We start from the raw sequence: 19,438 nt of genomic DNA, 5'->3' as shown, positions 1-19,438 counted from the left end.
AGATATTTCCTTTTTCACCATAGGCCTCAAAGCGCTCCAAATATCCATTTGCAGACTCTACAAAAAGACATTTCCAAACTGCTCAAAAAAAAGAAAATTTCAACTCTGAGATGAAAGTACACATCACAAAGAAGTTTCTCAGAAAGTTTCTGTCTAGTTTTTATGTGAAAATATTTCCTATTTTCCCATAGGCCTCAATGGGCTCACAAATATCCCTTTGCAGATCCCACAAAACGACGCTTTCCAAACTGTTCAATCAAAACAAATGTTCAACTCTGTGAGATGAATGCACACATTAAAAAGAAGTTTCTCAGAATGCTTCCATCCAGTTTTTATGTGAATATATTTCCTTTTCCACTGAAGGCCACAAAGTGCTCCAAATATCCACTTGCAGATTCTGCAAAAAGACAGTTTCCAAACTTCTCAATGAAAAGAAAGGTTGAACTCTGTGAGATGAATGCACACATCACAAAGAAGTGTCTCACAATTCTTCTGTGTAGTTTTTATGGGAAGATATTTCCTTTTTCACCATAGGAATCAAATCGCTCACAATATCCGTTTGCAGATACTACAAAAAGACTGTTCCAAAACTGCTCAATCAAAAGAAAGGTTCAACTCTGTGAGGTTAATGCACACCTCACAAAGAAGTTTCTCAGAATGCTTCTGTCTAGTTTTAATGTGAAGATAGTCCCTTTTTCACCATAGACCTCAAAGTGCTCCAAATATCCATGTGTAGATTTTACAAAAAGACTGCTTGGAAAACTGCTCAATTAAAAGAAAGTTTCAAATCTGTGAGATGAATGCACATGTCACAAAGAAGTTTCTCAGAATGCTTCTGTCTACTTTTTATGTGAAGATACTACCTTTTCAACCATATGCTTCAAACCGCTCCAAGTATCTACTTACAGATTCACAAAAAGAGTGTTTCAACACTGATCAACCAAAAGAAAGTTTCAACTCTATGAGATGAATGCACACATCACAAAGAAGTTTCTCAGAATGTTTCTCTGTAGTTTTTATGTGAAGATATTTCCATTTTCACCATAGGCCTCAAATCATTCCAAATATACACTTGCAGATACTACAAAAAGACTGTTTCCCAATTGCTCAATCAAAAGAAAGGTTCAATTTCGTGAGATGAATGCACACATCAGAAAGAAGTTTCTCAGAATGCTTCTGTCTAGTTTTTATTTGAAGATAGTTGCTTTTTCACCATAGACCACATAGCACTCAAAATACCCACATGCAGATACTACAAAAAGATGGTTTCCAAACTGCTCAATCAAAAGAAAGGTTCACCACTGTAAGATGAATGCACACATCACAAAGAAGTTTCTCAGAAAGTTTCTGACTAGTTTTTATGTGAAGATATTTCCTATTTCCTCATAGGCCTCAATGGGCTCAAAAATATCCCTTTGCAGATTCTACAAAAGGACGGTTTCCAAAGTTCTCAATAAAGAGAAATGTTCAACACTGTGAGAAGAATGCACACATCACAACGAAGTTTCTAAGAATGCTTCTATCTAGTTTTTATGTGAAGATATTTCCTTTTCCACCATTGGCCTCAAGACACTCCAAATATCCACTTGCACATTCTACAAAAAGTCTATATTCAAACTGGTCTAACAAAAGAAAGTCTCAACTCTCCGAGATGAAGGCACACATCTCAAGGAAGTTTCCCAGAATGCTTCTGTCTGGTTTTTATGTGAAGATATTTCCTTCTTCACCATAGGCCTCAAAGTGCTCCAAGTATCCATTTACAGATTCCACAAAAATACTGTGTAAAAACTGCTCAATGAAAAGAAAGTTTCAACTGTGTGAGATGAAAGCACACATCACAAAGAAGTTTTTCATGATGTTTCTTTCTAGTTTTTATGTGAAGATATTTCCTTTTTGCCCATAGGCCTCAATGCAGTCACAAACATCCCTTTGCAGATTCTACAAAAAGACTGTTTCCAAACTTCTCAATCAAAAGAAATGTTCAACTCTGTGAGATAAAGCACACATCACAAATTAGTTTCTCAGAAAGTTTCTGTTTTTTTTTTTATGTGAGGATATTTCCTATTTCCCCATAGGCTTCAATGGGCTCTCAAGTATCCCTTTGAAGATTCTACAAAACGACTGTTTCCAAAACTGCTCAATCATAAGAAAGGTTTAACTCTCTGAGATGAAGGCACACAAGGAAGTTTCCCAGAATGCTTCTGTATGGTTTTTATGTGAAGATATTTCCTTCTTCATGATAGGCCTCAAAGCACTCCAAATATCCATTTGCAGATTCCACAAAAAGACTGTGTAAAAACTGCTCAATGAAAAGAAAGTTTCAACTGTGTGAGATGAAAGCACACATCACCAAGAAGTTTTTCATAATGTTTCTTTCTAGTTTTTATGTGAAGATATTTCATGTTTGCCCATAGGCCTCAATGCACTCACAAACATCCCTTTGCAGATTCTACAAAAAGACTGTTTCCATACTTCTCAATCAAAAGAAATGTTCAACTCTGTGAGATGAATGCACACATCAAAAAGAAGTTTCTAGGAATGCCTCTCTCTCGTCTTCACATGAAGATATTCCTTGTTCCACCTTAGGCTGCAAATAACTCCAAATATCCACTTGCAGTTTCTACAAAATGACAGTTTCCAAACTGCTCAATCAAAAGAAATGTTCCACTCTGTGAGATGAATGCACACATCACAAAGAAGTTTCTCAGAATACTTCTGTCTAGTTTTTATATGAAGATATTTTCCTTTTCCCCATAAGCCTCAAAGGGCTCCAAATATCCAGTTGCAGATTGTACAAAAAGACTGTTTCCAAACTGCACAATCAAAAGAAAGGTTCAACTCTGTGAGTCGAATGCACACATCACAAATAAGTTTTTCACAATGCTTCTGTCTAGTTTTTCTATGAAGATTTTTCCTTTTTCACCACAGGCCTCATAGTGCTCCAAAATTCCACTTGCAGATTCTACAAAAAGACTCTTTCAAAACTTCTCAATCAAAAGAAAGATTCAGCTGTGTGAGATAAAAGCACACATCACAAATTAGTTTCTCAGAAAGTTTCTGTCTATTTTTTATGCAAAGATATTTCCTATTTCCCCATAGGCCTCAATGGGCTCTCAAGTATCCCTGTGAAGATTCTACAAAACGACTGTTTTCAAAACTGCTCAATCATAAGAAAGGTTTAACTCTCTGAGATGAATACACACATCACAGATAAGTTTCTCAGAATGTTTTTGTCTAGTTTTTATGTGAAGATATTTCCTTTTCCACCACAGGCCTCAAAGCGCTCTAAATATCCACTTGCAGATTCTAAAAAAACAGTGTTTCAAAACTGCTCAATCAAAAGAAAGATTCAACTCTGGGAGCTGCATGCGCACATCACAGAGAAGTTTCTCAGAATGCTTCTGTAGTTTTTTTGTGAAGATATTTCCTTTTTCACCATAGGCCTCAAAGCACTCCAAATATCCTTTTGAAGATACTACAAAAAGGTTGTTTCCAAGGTGCTCAATCAAAAGAAAGGTTCAACTCTGTGAAATGAATGCACACATCAGAAAGAAGTTTCCCACAATGGTTCAGTGTAGTTTTTATATGAAGATATTTCATTTTTCCCCATATGACTCAAAGTGCTACAAATATCCATTTTCAGTTACTATGAAAAGTATGCTTCCAAACAGCTCAATCAAAAGAAATTTTCAACTCTGTGAGATGAAAGCACACGTCTCAAAGTAATTTATCGGAAAGTTTCTGTCTAGTTTTTATGTGAAGATATTTCCTTTTCCACCACAGGCCTCAACGCACTCCAAATATCCAGTTCCATTTTCTACAAATAGAGTGTTTCAAAATTCCTTAATCAAAAGAATAGTTCAACTCTATGAGATGAATGCACACCTCACAAAGAAGTTTCTCATAATGCTTTTGTCTAGTTTTTATTTGATGATATTTCCTTTTTCAATGCAGGCCTCCAAGTGCTCCACATATCACTTTGCAGATACTATAAAAAGATTGTTTCCAAACTGCTCTATCAAAAGAAAGTTTGAACTCTGAGAGATGAATGCACACATCACAAAGAATTTCTCAGAATGCTTCTGTCGAGTTTTTATGTGAAAATATGTCCTTCCTCACCATAAGCCTCAATGCGCTCCAAATATCCATTTGCAGATTCTTCAGAAAGACTATTTCAAAACTGCTCTATCAAAAGAAAGTTTCAACTCTTTGAGGTGAAAGCACACATCACAAAGTAGTTTTGCAACAAGTTTCCGGCAAGTTTTTATGTGAAGACATTTCCTATTTTCCCATAAGCCTCAATGGGCTCACAAATATCCCTTTGCACATTTTACAAAACGAATGTTTCCAAACTGCTCAATCAAAAGAAATATTCAACTCTCTAAGATGAATGCACACATCACAAAGAAGTTTCTGAGAATGCTTCTGTCTGGTTTTTATGTGAAGATACCCCTTTTCTGCCACAGGCCTCAAAGCACTCCAAACATCCAGTAGCATTTTCTACAAAAAGAGTGTTTCAAAACTGCTTAATAAAAAGAAATTTTCAACTCTGGGAGATGAATGCACAAACCACAAAGATGTTTCTCAGAATGCTTTTGTCTACTTTTTATGTGAAGATATTTCCTTTTTCACCATAGACCTCAAAACGCTCAAAATCTCCCTTTGCAAATACTACAAAAAGACTGTTTCCAAACTGATCAATCTAAAGCAAGGTTGAACGCCATGATATGAATGCACACATCACAAAGATGTTTCTCAGAATGCTTCTGTCTAGTTTTTAAGCGAGGATAGTTCCTTATTCAACATAGGCCTCAAAGTGCCTCAAATATCCATTTGCAGATTCTAAAAAAAAGACTATTTCTAAACTGCTCACTCAAAAGAAAGTTTCAACTCTGTGAGATGAAAGCACACCTCACAAACCAGCTTCTCAGAAAGTTTCTGCCTAGTTTTTATGTGAAGATATTTCCCATTATCCCATGGGCCTCAATGGACTCACAAATATCCCTTTGCAGATTCTCCAAAACGACTATTTCCAAACTGCTCAATCAAAAGAAAGGTTCAATTATGTGAGATGAATGCACTCATCACAAAGAAGATTCTAGGAAGGCTTCTGTCTAGTTTTTAAATGAAGACATTTCCATTTTCACCACTGGCCTCAAAGCGCTCCAAATATCAATTTGCAGTTTCTACAAGAAGACAGTTTCCAAACTGCTCATTCAAATGAAAGTTTCAACTTTGTGAGATGAAAGCTCATATCACAAAGAAGTTTCTCAGAAAGACTCCATCTAATTTTTATGTGAAGATATTTCCTATTTGCCCATAGGCCTCAGTGAGCTCAAATATCCCTATGAAGACTCCACACAGCGACTGTTTCCAAACTGCTCAATCAAAAGAAACATTCAATGCAGTGAGATGAATGCACACATCACAAAGAAGTTCCTCAGAATGCTTCTGTCTAATTTTTATGTGAAGATATTTTTTCCATCATAGTACTTAAAGTGCTCCAAATATCCACTTGCAGATTCTACAAAAAGAGTGTTTCCAAACTGTTCAATCAAAAGAAATGTTCAACTCTGTAAGATGAAGATGAATGCACACATCACAAAGAAGATTCTCAGAATTCTTCTGTGTAGTTTTTATGTGAAGATATTTTCTTTTAAGCTATAGGCCTCATAGAGCTCCAAATATTCATTTGCATATTCAACAAAAAGAGTGTTTCAAAACTGCTCAATCAAAAGAATGGTTAAACTCTCTGAGATGAATGCACACATCACAAAGAAGTTTCTCAGAATGTTTCTGCCTAGTTGTTATGTGAAGATATTTCCTTTTCCACCATAGACCTCAAAGCGCTCCAAATATCCATTTGCCGATACTACCAAAAGACTGTTTCCAAACTGGTCAATCAAAAGAAAGGTTCAGCTTTGACACATGACTGCACACATCACAAAGAAGTTTCTCAGAATGCTTCTTTGTAGTATTTAAGTGAAGATATTTCCTTTTCCACAATAGGCGTCAAAGCGCCCCAAATATCCACTTGCAGATACTACAAAAAGTGTGTTTCAAAACTGCTCAACCAAAAGAAAATTTCAACTCTGTAAGATGAATGCACACATCACAAAGAAGTTTCTCAGAACGTTCCTGCCTACTTTTTATGTGAAGATATTTCCTTTTCTACCATAGGCCTCAAAGCACTCCAAATATCCACTTGCAGATTGTACAAAAAGAGTGATCCAAAACTGCTCAATCAAAAGAAAGGTTCAACTCTGTGAGATGAATGCACACATCACAAAGAAGTTTCTCAGAATGCTTCTGTCTAGTTTTTATATGAAGATATTTCCTTTTCTACTACAGGCCTCAAATCACTCCAAATATCAATTTGCAGACACTAAAAAGATGGTATCCAAACCGCTCAATCAAAAGAAAGGTTCAAGTCTCTGAGTTGAATGCACACAAAAGAAAGAAGTTTCTCAGAATGTTTCTGTCTAGTTTTTACGTGAAGATATTCCCTTTTCCAGTACACAACATAAACTGATCCAAATATCCACTTGCAGAATCTATAAAAAGAGTGATTCAAAGCTGCTCACCAAAAATATGTTTCACCTCTATGAGATGAATGCAGACATCAAGAAGTTTCTCAAAATGCTTCTGTCTAGTTTTTATGTGAAGATATTTCCTTTTCAACCATAGGCCTAAATGTGCTCCAAATATCCACTTGCAGATAATACAAAAAGAGTTTTTCAAAACTGCTCAATGAAAAGAAATGTTAAACTCCGTGAGTTGAATGCACACATCATAAAGAAGTTTCTCAGACTGCTTCTGTCTAGTTTTTATGTGAAGTTATTTCCTTTTCCACTATACAACAAAAAGCGTTCCGAATATCTACTTGCAGATTCTAGAAAAAGACTGTTTCCAAACTGCTCAATCAAAAGAAAGTTTCAACTCGGTGAGATGAATGCACACATCACTAAGAAGTTTCTCAGAATGCTTCTGTCTAGCTTTTTATGTGAAGATATTTACTTTTCCACCATAGGTCTCAAAGCACTCCAAATATCTGCTTGCAGATTCTACAAAAGGAGTGTTTCAAAACTGTTCAATGAAAAGAAAGATTCACCTCCCTCAGATGAATGCACACATCCAAAGTAGTTTGTCAGAATGCTTCTGGCTAGTTTTTTTGTGAAGATATTTCCTTTCCCATTATAGGCCACAAAGTGCTCCAAATATGAAATTGCAGATTCTACAAAAAGATTTTTTCAAAACTGCTCAAACAAAAGAAAGTTTCAACTCTGTGAGATGAGTGCACACATCAAATAAAAGTTTGTCAGAATGCTTCTGCCTAATTTTTATGGGAAGGTATTTCCTTTTTCACCATAGGCCTCAAAGCATCCAAATGTCCATTTGCAGAATCTACAAAAAGACTATTTCCAAACTGCTCAATCAAAAGAATGTTTCAAATCTGTGAGTTGAAAGCACATATCTCATAGAAGTTTCTCAGAAAGTTTCTGTCTAGTTTTAATGTGAAGATATTTCCTTTTTCCCCAGGGACCTCAATGGGCTCACAAATATCCCTTTGCAGATTCCACAAAACGACTGTTTCCAAATTGCTCAATCAGATGTAATGTTCAACTCTGTGAGATGAATGCACACGTCACAAAGAAGTTTCTCAGAATGCTTCTGAATAGTTTTTATGGGAAGATATTTCCTTTTTCACCTTATGCTTCAAAGGGCTCCAAATATCTATTTGCAGTTTCTACAAAAAGACTGTTTCAAAACTGCTCAATCAAAAGAAAGGTTTAACCTTTTGAGGTGAAAACACACATAACAAAGCAGTTTCTCAGAAAGTTCTGTCTAGTTTTAATGAGAAGATATTTCCTATTTCCCCAGAGGCCTCAATGGGCTCACAAATATCCCTTTGCAGATTCCACAAAACGACTGCTTCTAAACTGCTTAACCAAAAGAAAGGTTCAATTCTGTGAGTTGAATGCACACATCACAGAGAAGTTTGTCAGAATGCTTCTGTCTAGTTTTTATGTGAAGATATTTTCGTTGCCACTATAGGCTGCAAAGCGCTCCAAATATCCACCTGCACATTCTACAAACAGAGTGTTTCAAAACTGTTGAGTGAAAAGTAAGGTTCAACTCTATGATATGAATGCAAACATCACAAAGAAGTTTCTCAGAATCCTTCTGTCCAGTATTTATATGAAGATATATGCTTTTCCACCATAGGCCTTGAAGCGCTTGAAATATCAATTTACAGATACTACAAAAAGACTGTTTCAAAACTGCTCAATCAAAAGAAATGTTCAACTTAGTGAGATAAAGGCACACCACAAAGAAGTTTCTCAGAATGCTTCTGTCTGGTTTTATGTTAAGATATTTCCTTTTCCACTATGGGCCGCAAAGCGCTCCAAATATCCACTTGCAGATTCTACAAAGGAGTGTTTCACAACTGCCCTATCAAAAGAAAGGTTCATCTCTGTGAGATGAATGCACACATCACAAAGAAGTTTCTCAGAAGGCTTCTGTCTAGTATTTATGTGAAGATATTTCTTTTTCCACCATGGGCCTCAAAGTGCTCAAAATATCAATTTGCATATACTACAAAAAGACGGTTTCCAAACTGCTCAATCAAAAGAAAGGTTCAACTCTGTGAGTTGAATGCACACCTCACAAAGAAGTTTCTCAGAAGGCTTCTGTCTAGTTTTTATATGAAGACATTTCTTTTTCCACCATAGGCTTCAAATCACTGCAAATATCCAATTGCAGATTCTACAAAAAGAGTGTTTCAAAACTGCTCAATCAAAAGAAAGGTTCAACTCTCTGAGGTGCATGCACACATCACAAAGAAGTTTCTCAGAAAGCTTCTGTCTAGTTTTTATATGAGGACATTTCTTTTTCCACCGTAGGCTTCAAATCACTGCAAATATCCAAATGCAGATTCTACAAAAAGAGTGTTTCAAAACTGCTCAATCAAAAGAAAGGTTCAACTCTGTGAGGTGAATGCACACATCACAAAGAAGTTTCCCAGAAGGCTTCTGTCTAGTTTCCAGGTGAAGATATTAGCTTTCCTCCATAGGCTGCAAAGCACTCCAAATATGCACTTGCAGATTCTACAAAAAGATTGTTTCAAAACAGCTCAATCAAAAGAACAGTCAAACTCTGTGAGATGAATGCACACCTCACAATGAAGTTTCTCAGAATGCCTGTGTCTAGTTTTTTTGTGAAAATTTTTCCTTTTCCTCTATAGGCCTCTAAGCACTCGAAATATCCATTTGAAGATACTAAAAAGAGACTGTTTCCAAACTCCTCAATAGAAAGAAAGTTTCAACACTGTGAGTTGAATGCAGACATCACAAAGAAGTTTCTCAGAATGATTCTGTCAAGTTTTTATGTGAAGACATTTCCTTTTCCACTACATGGCTCAAAGCGCTCCAAATATACACTTGCAGATTATACAAGAAGAGTGTTTCAAAACTGCTCAATCAAAAGAAAAGTTCAACTCTCTGAAATTAATGCACACATCACAAAGAAGTTTCTCAGAATGCTACTGTCTAGATTTTACATGAAGATATTTCCTTTTCTAACATAGGCCTCAAAGCGATTCAAATATTCATTTGCAGATGCTACAAAAAGACTACTTCCAAACTGCTCAATCAAGAGAAAGTTTCACCTCTGTGAACTGAAAGCACACATCACAAAGAAGTTTCTCAGAATGCTTCTGTCTAGTTTTTATAAGAAAATATTTCCTTTTCCACAATAGGCCTCCAAGTGCTCCAAATATGCACTTGCAGATTCTACAAAAACAGTGTTTCAAAACTGCTCAATCAAAAGAACAGTCCAACTCTGTGAGAAAAAAGCACATCGCAGAATGAAGTTTCTCAGAATGCCTCTGTCTAGTTTTTTTGTGAAGATTTTTCCTTTTCCAATATAGGCCTCTAAGCACCTGAAATATCCATTTACAGATACTACAAAAACACTGTTTCCAAACTGCTCAATCAAAAGAAAGTTTCAACACTGTGAGATGAATGCACATATCACAGGGAAGTTTCTCAGAATGATTCTATCTAGTTTTTATGTGAAGATATTTCCTTTTCCAATACATGCTTCAAAGCGCTTCAAATATACACTTGCAGATTCTACAAGAAGAGAGTTTCAAAACTGCTCAATCAAAAGAAAAGTTCAACTCTCTGAAATGAATGCACACATCACAAAGAAGTTTCTCAGAATGCTTCTGTGTAGTTTTTATGTGAAGACATTTCCTTTTCCAACATAGGCCTCAAAGGGCTCCAAATATCCATTTGCAGATGGTACAAAAAGACTGTTTCCAAACTGCTCATCAAAAGAAACTTTCAACTCTGTGAGATGAATGCACACATCACAAAGACGTTTCTCAGAATGCTTCTGGGAAGTTTTTACATGAAGATATTTCCCATTCCACAATAGGTCTCAAAGCGCTCCAAATATCCTCTTGCAAATTCTACAAAAAGAGTGATTCAAAACTGCTCAATCGAAGGAAAAGTTCAACTCTGTGAGACGAATGCACTCATCATAAAGTAGTTTCTCAGAATGCTGCTGGGTAGTTTTTATGTGAAGACATTCCCTTTTCTATCATAGGCCGCAAAGGTCTCCAAATATCCACTTGCAGATTGTACAAAAGAGAGTTTCAAAACTGCTCTATTAAAAGATAGGTTCAAATCTGTGAGTTTAATGCACACATCACAAAGAAGTTTTGAGAATGCTTCTGTGTAGTTTTTATGTGAAGATATTTCCTTTCCACCATAGGCCTCAAAGCACTCAAAATATGCACTTACAGATTCTACAAAAAGAGTGTTTCAAAACTGCTCTATCAAAACATAGGTTCAACTCGGTGAGATGAATGCACACATCACAAGGAACTTTCTCAGAATGCTTCTGTGCAGTTTTTATGTGAAGATATATCCTTTCTCCACCATAGACCACAAATAGCCACAAGTGTGCACTTGCAGATTCTATAAAAACAGTGTTTCAAAAACTGCTCAATCAAAAGAAATGTTCAACTCTATGAGATGAATGCACGCAGCACAAAAAAGTTTCTCAGAATGTTTCTATGTAGTTATTATAGGAAGATATTTCCTTTTCTACCGTAGGCCTCTAAAAGCTCCAAATATCCACTTGCAGATTCTACAAAAACAGTATTTCCAAACTGCTCAATCAAAAGAAAGCTTTCATCCTGCGACATGAATGCACACATCACAAAGAAGTTTCTCAGACTCCTTCCATGTAGCTTTTATTTGAAGAAATTTCCTTTTCCACAATAGACCTCAAAGCACTCCAAATATCCACTTGTAGATTCTACGAAAAGAGTGTTTCAAAACTGCTCAATAAAAAAAAAAGTTTCAACTCTGTGAGATGAATGCACACATCACAAAGAAATTCCTCAGAATGCTTCTGTGTAGTTTTTATGTGAAGATATTTCCTTTAAAACTATTGGCCTCAAAGCGCTCCAAATATCCACTTGTAGATTCTAGAAAAAGATTGTTTCATAACTGCTCAATTGAAAGAAAGGTTCAACTCTATGAGACGAATGCACACATCAAAAAGAAGTTTCACAGAATTCTTCTGTGGAGTTTTATGTGATGGTATTTCCTTTTCCGCTATAGGCCACAAAGGACTCCAAATATCCACTTTCAGATTCTACAAAAAATGGTTTTCAAAACTGCTCTGTCAACAGATAAGTTCAGTTCTATGAGTTGAAGGCATACATCAAAAAGAAGTTCATCAGAAGGCATCTGTGTAGTTTTTACGTAAAGATATTACCTTTTCCACGAGGCCTCAAAGCTCTCCAAACATCCACTTGCAGATTCTACAAAAAGAGTGTTTCCAATCTGCTCAATCGAAAGAAAGTTTCATCTCTGTGACATGACTGTACACATCACATAGAAGATTATCAGAATGCCTCTGTGTAGTTTTTATATGAAGATATTTCCTTTTCCACTAGAGGCCGCAATGCTCTCCAAATATCCACTTGCAGATTCTACAAAAAGAGTGTTTCAAAACTGTTCAATCAAAAGAAATATTCAAATCTGTGAGATGAATGCACACATCACAAAGATGTTTCTCAGAACGCTTCTGTGTAGTTTTTATTTGAAGATATTTCCTTTTTCACCATAGGCCGCAAAGGGCTCCAAATATCCACTTGCAGTTTCTAGAAAAAAAGAGTTTCAAAGCTGCTCAATCAAAAGATATGTTCAACACTATTAGATGAATGCACACATCACCAAATGTTTATCAGAATGCTTCTGAGTAATTCTTATGTGAAGATATTTACTTTTCCAGCACACGCTGCAAAAGTCTCCAAATATTCACTTGCAGATTCTGCAAAAAGAGAGTTTCAAAACTGCTCAATCAAAAGAAATTTTCAACTCGGTGTGTTGAATGCACACATCACAAAGTATTTTGTCAGAATGCTTCTTTGTAGATTTGTGTGAAGATAATTCCTTTTTCATAATAGGCCTCAATGTGCTCCTAATATCCACTTGCAGATTCTACAAAAAGAGAGTTTCAAAACTACTCAATCAAAAGGTAGGTTCAACTGCGTGAATTGAATGCACACATCAAAAAGAAGTTTCACAGAATGCTTCTTAGCAGTTTTTATGTGAAGGTATTTCCTTTACCAGAATTGGCCTCAAAGCGCTCCAAATATCCTCTTGCATATTCTACAAAAAGGGTGTTTCAAAACAGCTCAATCAAAAGAAATGTTCAACTCTGTGAGATGAATGCACATATCACAAAGAAGTTTCTCAGAATGCTTCTGTGTAGTTTTTATGTGAAGATATTTCCTTTCCCACGATTGGCCTCAAAGTGCTTAAAATATCCACCTGCAGATTCTATACAAAGTGTGGTTCAAAATTGCTCAATCAAAAGATAGGTAAAACTCTGTGAGATGAATGCACACGTCCTAATAATGTTTCTCAAAATGCTTCTATATAGTTTTTATGTGAACTTATTCCCTTTTCCAAAATAGGCCGGAAAGGGCTCCAAAAATTTACATGCAGATTCTACAAAAAGTGAGATTCAAAACTGCTCAATCAAAAGATAGGTTCAACGCTGGGAGTTGAATGCACACATCACAAAGTATTTTCTCACAATGCTTCTGCGTAGTTTCTATGTGAAGATATGTCCTTTTCCACAAAAGGCCTCAAAGCACTCCAAATATCCACTTGCAGATTCTACAAAAAGAGGGTTTCAAAACTGCTCAATCAAAAGAAACGTTCAACTCTGTGAGATGAATGTACACATCACAAACAAGTTTCTCAGAATGCCTCTGTTTAGTTTTTATGTGAAGATATTTCCTTTTTGACAATAGGCCTCAAAGCACTCCAAATATCCACTTGCAGATTCTACAAAAAGAGTGTTTCTAAACTGCTCTATGAAAAAAATGGTTTAACTCTCTGAGATGAATGCACACATCACAAAGAAGTTTCTCAGAATGCTTCTATGTAGTTTTTATGTGAAGATATTACCTTTTCCACAATAATCCTGAAAGCGCTCCAAATATCAACTTGCAGATTCTACAAAAAGTCTGTTTCCAAACTGCTCAATCAAAAGAATGTTTCAACTCTGTGAGATGAATACACACATCACAATGACGTTTCTGAGAATGCTTCTATGTAGTTTTTATGTGAAGATATTTCCTTTTCCACAATAGGACTCAAAGCGCTTCAAATATCCACTTGCAGATTCTATAAAAAGAGTGTTTCAAAACTGCTCAATCAAAAGATAGGTTCAACTCTGTGAGTTGAATGCACACATCATAAAGAAGTTTCTCAGAATGCTTCTGGGTAGTTTTTATGTGAAGATATTTCCTTTTCCACAATACGCCACAAAGCGCTCCAAATATCCACTTGCAGATTCTGCAAAAAGAGTCTTTCCAAACTGCTCAATCAAAAGAAAGTTTGAACTGTGTTTGATGAATGCATACATCACAAAGAAGTTTCTCAGAATGCTTCCGTGTAGTTTTTAAGTGAAGATATTTCCTTTTCCACAATAGGACTTAAATCGCTCCAAATATCCACTTGCAAATTCTACCAAAAGATTGTCTCAAAACTGTTAATCAAATGAAACTTTCATCTCTGTGAGATGAAGGCACACATCACAAAGAAGTTTATCAGAATGCTTCTGTGTAGCTTTTATGTGAAGACATTTCCTTTTACACCATAAGCCACAAATGGCTCCAAATATCCACTTGCAGATTCTACGAAAGGGGACTTTCAAAACTGCTCTATGAAAAGATAGCTTCAACTCTGTGAGGTGAATGCACACACACCAAGGAAGTTTCTCAGAAGGCTTCTGTGTAGTTTTTATGTGAAGATATTTCCTTTTCCAAAATAGGCTGAAAAGGGCTCCAAATATCCACTTGCAGATTCTACAGAAAGAGAGACTGAAAACTGCTCAATCAAAAGATAGGTTCAACTCTGTGAGTTCAATGCGCACATCATAAATTTGTTTCTCAGAATGCTTCTGGGTAGTTTTTATGTGAAGATATTTCCTTTTCCACAGTAGGCCACAAAGCGCTCCAAAGATCCACTTGCAGATTCTACAAAAAGAGTCTTTCCTAACTGCTCAATCAAAAGAAAGTTTGAACTGTGTTTGTTGAATGCACACATCACAAAGAAGTTTCTCAGAATATTTCCTTGTAGTTTTTATGTGAAGATATTTCCTTTTCCACAATAGGACTTAAATCGCTCCAAATATCCACTTGCAAATTCTACCAAAATATTGTTTCAAAACTGTTAATCAAATGAAAGTTTCAACTTTGTGAGACGAATGCACACATCAGAAAGAAGTTTATCAGAATGCCTCTGTGTAGCTTTTATGTGAAGACATTTCCTTTTACGCCATAAGCTGCAAATGGCTCCAAATATCCACTTGCAGATTCTACAAAAGGGGAGTTTCAAAACTGCTCTATGAAAAGATAGCTTCAACTCTGTGAGTTGAAGGCACACATCACAAGGAAGTTTCTCAGAATGCTTCTGTGTAGTTTTTATGTGAAGATATTTTCTTTTCCACCATAAGCCTCAAAGCATTCCAAATATCCACTTGCAGATTCTACAAAAAGCGTGTTTCTAAACTGCTCAATCAAAAGAAGGGTTCACCTTTGTGAGATGAATGCACACATCACAAAGAAGTTTCTCACATTGCTTTTGTGCAGTTTTTGTGTGAAGATATTTCCTTTTCTGCCATAGGCCTCAAAGGGCTCCAACTATCCACTTGCAGCTGCTACAAAAGAGAGTTTCAAAACTGCACAGGTAGGAAGCATCAATATCGTGAAAATCGCCATACTGCCCCCCAAGTAACTTATAGATTCAATGCCATCCCCATCAAGATACCAATGATTTTCTTCACAGAATTGGAAAAAACTACTTTAAAGTTCATATGACACCAAAAAAGAGTCCACATCGCCAAGTCAGTCCTATACCAAAAGAACAAAGCTGGAGGCATCATGCTACCTGACTTCAATCTATACTACAAGGCTACAGTAACTAAAACAGCATGCTACTGGTACCAAAACAGAGATATAGATCAATGCAACAGAACAGAGCCCTCAGAAGTAATGCCGTATATTTACAACCATCTGATCTTTGACAAACCTGACAAAAACAAGCAATGGGGATAGGATTCCCTATTTAATAAATGGTTCTGGGAAAACTGGCTAGCCATACAGAGAAAGCTGAAACTGGATCCTTTCCTTACACTTTATAAAAAAATTAATTCAAGACGGATTAAAGACTTAAACGTTAGACTTAAAACCATAAGAACTCTAGAAGAAATCCTAAGCATTACCATTCAGGACATAGGCATGGGCAAGGAACTCATCTCTAAAACACCAAAAACAATGGCAACAAAAGCCAAAATGACAAAAGGGATCTAATTAAACTAAAGAGCTTCTGCACAGCAAAAGAAACTACCATTAGAGTGAACAGACAGCCTACAAAATGGGAGAAAAGTTTCACAATCTAGCACCTGACAAAGGGCTAATATCCAGAATCTACAATGAACTCAAAAAATTTACAGGAAAAAAAAAAACAACCCCATCAAAAAGGGAGCAAAGGACATGAACAGACACTTCTCAAAAGGAGACATTTATGCAGCCAAAAATACATGAAAAAATGCTCACCATAACTGGCTATCAGAGAAATGCAAATCAAAACCACAATGAGATACCATCTCAAGCCAGTTAGAATGGCAATCATTAAAAAGTCAGGAAACAACAGGTGCTGGAGAGGATGTGAAGGAATAGGAACACTTTTACACTGTTGGAGGGACTGTAAACTAGTTCAACCATTGTGGAAGTCAGTATGGCGATTCCTCAGGGATCTAGAACTAGAAATACCATTTGACCCAGCCATTCCATTACTGGGTATATACCCAAAGGACTATAAATCATGCTTCTATAAAGACACATGCACACGTATATTTATTGTGGCCCTATTCACAATAGCAAAGACTTGGAACCAACACAAATGTCCAACAATCAGACTGGATTAAGAAAATGTGGCACATATACACCATGGAATATATGCAGCCATAAAAAATTATGAGTTCATGTCCTTTATAGGGACATGGATGAAATTGGAAATCATCATTCTCAGTAAACTATCACAAGAACAAAAAACCAAACACCACATATTCTCTCATAGGTGGGAATTGATCAATGAGAACACATGGACACAGGAAGGGGAACATCACACTATGGGGACAGTTGTGGGGTGTGGTGAGGAGGGAGGGATAGCATTGGGAGATATTCCTAATGATAACTGACGATTCAATGGGTGCAGCACACCAGCATGGCACATGTATACATATGTAACTAACCTGCACATTGTGCACATGTACCCTAAAACTTCAAGTATAATAAAAAAAAAAAGATACGTTCAACAATGTGAGTTGAATGCACACATCACAAAGAAGTTTCTCAGAATGCTTCTGTGTAGTTTTAATGTGAAGATATTTCCTTTTTTCCATAGGCTGCTAAGGGCTCTAAATATCCACTTGCAGATTATTCAAAAAGAGAGTTTCAAAACTGGTCTATCAAAACTTAGGTTCAACTCTGGGAGTTGAATGCACACATCAAAAAGAAGTTTCTCATAATTCTTCTGTCTAGTTTTTATGTGAAGATATTTCCTTTTCCACCATAGGCCTCAAAGTGCCCCAAATATCCACTGGCAGATGCTATAAAAAGGGTGTTTCCAAACTGCTGAATCAAAAGAAAGGTTCAACTCTCTGAGATGAATGCATATATCGCAAAGAAGTTTCTCAGAATGCGTCTGTGTAGTTTTTGGGTGAAGGTATTTCCTTTTCCACTATAGGCCTCAAAGAGCTCCAATATCCACTTGCAGATTCTACAAAAAGAGTGTTTCAAAGCTGCTGAATCAAAAGATAGGTTCAACACTGTGAGTTGAATGCACACATCACAAAGAAGTTTCTCAGAATACTTCTGTGTAGTTTCAATGTGAAGATATTTCCTTTTCTCCATAGGCCACTAAGGGCTCTAAATATCCACTGGCAGATTATTCAAAAAGAGAGTTACAAAACTGGTCTATCAAAACTTAGGTTCAACTCTGTGACATGAATGCACACATCACAAAGAAGTTTCTCATAATGTTTCTGTCTAGTTTTCATGTGAAGATATTTCCTTTTCCACCATAGGCCTCAAAGCGTTCCAAATATCCACTTGCAGGTTCCATAAAAAGGGTGTTTCCAAACTGCTCAATCAAAAGAAAGGTTCAACTCTGTGAGATGAATGCACATATCACAAAGAAGTTTCTCAGAATGCTTCTGTGTAGTTTTTGGATGAAGGTATTTCCTTTTCCACTACAGACCTCAAAGTGCTCCAATATCCACTTACAGATTTTACAAAAAGAGTGTTTCAAAACTGCTGAATCAAAAGACAGGTTCAACACTGTGAGTTGAATGCACACATCACAAAGAAGTTTCTCAGAATGCTTATGTGTAGTTTTTGTGTGAAGATATTTCCTTTTCCACAATAGGCCTCAAAGCGCTCCAAATATCCACTTGCAGATTCTACAAAAAGAGTGTTTCAAAGCTGCTGAATCAAAGGAAAGTTTCAGTTCTGTGAGATGAATGCACATATCACAAAGAAGTTTCTCAGAATGCTTCTGTGTAGTTTTTGGATGAAGGTATTTCCTTTTCCACTACAGACCTCAAAGTGCTCCAATATCCACTTACAGATTTTACAAAAAGAGTGTTTCAAAACTGCTGAATCGAAAGACAGGTTCAACACTGTGAATTGAATGCACACATCACAAAGAAGTTTCTCAGAATGCTTATGTGTAGTTTTTGTGTGAGGATATTTCCTTTTCCACAATAGGCCTCAAAGCGCTCCAAATATCCACTTGCAGATTCTACAAAAAGAGTGTTTCAAAGCTGCTGAATCAAAGGAAAGTTTCAGTTCTGTGAGATGAATGCACACATCACAAAGTGGTTTCTCAGAATGCTTCTTTTTTATTTATTTTATTATTAGTATACTTAAATTTTAGGGTACATGTGCACAATGTGCAGGTTAGTTACATATGTATACATGTGCCATGCTGGTGTGCTGCACCCATTAACTCGTCATTTAGCATTAGGTATATCTCCTAATGCTATCCCCCCTCCCCCCACCCCACAACCATCCCAGAGTGTGATGTTCCCCTTCCTGTGTCCATTTGTTCTCATTTTTCCATTCCCACCTATGAGTGAGAATATGCGGTTTTTGTTTTTTTGTCCTTGCGATAGTTTACTGAGAATGATGATTTCCAATTTCATCCATGTCCGTACAAAGGACCTGAAGTCATCATTTTTTATGGCTGCATAGTATTCTATGATGTATATGTGCCACATTTTCTTAATTCAGTCTATCATTGTTGGACATTTAGTTTGGTTCCAAATCTTTGCTATTGTGAATAGTGCAGCTATAAACATACGTGCGCATGTTTCTTTATAGCAGCGTGATTTATAGTCCTTTCAGTATATACCCAGTAATGGGATGGCTGGGTCAAATGGTATTTCTGGTTCTAGATCCCTGAGGAATCACCACACTGACTTCCACAATGGTTGAACTAGTTTACAGTCCCTCCAACAGTGTAAAAGTGTTCCTATTTCTCCACATCCTCTCCAGCATCTGTTGTTTCCTGACTTTTTAATGATCACCATTCTGACTGGTTTGAGATGGTATCTCATTGTGGTTTTGATTTGCATTTCTCTGATGGCCAGTGATGGTGAGCATTTTTTCATGTGTTTTTTGGCTGCATAAATGTCTTCTTTTGAGAAGTGTCCGTTCATGTCTTTCACCCACTTTTTGATGGGGTTGTTTGTTTTTTTCTTGTAAATTTGTTTGAGTTCTTTGTAGATTCTGGATATTAGCCCTTTGTCAGATGAGTAGGTTGCAAAACTTTTC

The 19,438-nt window shown here is 36.4% G+C and overlaps 3 annotated features.

Annotated features, from left to right (window-relative positions):
• Positions 4,241-4,742: an enhancer, noted in NCBI's record as "NANOG hESC enhancer chr19:27877672-27878173 (GRCh37/hg19 assembly coordinates)". NCBI's record gives its function as "activates a minimal SCP1, AML or CMV promoter by ChIP-STARR-seq in naive H9 embryonic stem cells {active_cell/tissue: H9 hESC(naive)}" and the evidence as "EXISTENCE:reporter gene assay evidence [ECO:0000049][PMID:30033119]".
• Positions 6,615-7,116: an enhancer, noted in NCBI's record as "NANOG hESC enhancer chr19:27875298-27875799 (GRCh37/hg19 assembly coordinates)". NCBI's record gives its function as "activates a minimal SCP1, AML or CMV promoter by ChIP-STARR-seq in primed H9 embryonic stem cells {active_cell/tissue: H9 hESC(primed)}" and the evidence as "EXISTENCE:reporter gene assay evidence [ECO:0000049][PMID:30033119]".
• Positions 7,174-8,142: an enhancer, noted in NCBI's record as "OCT4-NANOG hESC enhancer chr19:27874272-27875240 (GRCh37/hg19 assembly coordinates)". NCBI's record gives its function as "activates a minimal SCP1, AML or CMV promoter by ChIP-STARR-seq in primed H9 embryonic stem cells {active_cell/tissue: H9 hESC(primed)}" and the evidence as "EXISTENCE:reporter gene assay evidence [ECO:0000049][PMID:30033119]".

Source organism: Homo sapiens, chromosome 19, assembly GCF_000001405.40.
Source record: "Homo sapiens chromosome 19, GRCh38.p14 Primary Assembly".
Classification (NCBI taxonomy): Eukaryota; Metazoa; Chordata; class Mammalia; order Primates; family Hominidae; genus Homo; species Homo sapiens.
Note: the sequence above shows the minus strand (reverse complement) of the source record. Positions and strands in the feature narration are given on the sequence as shown.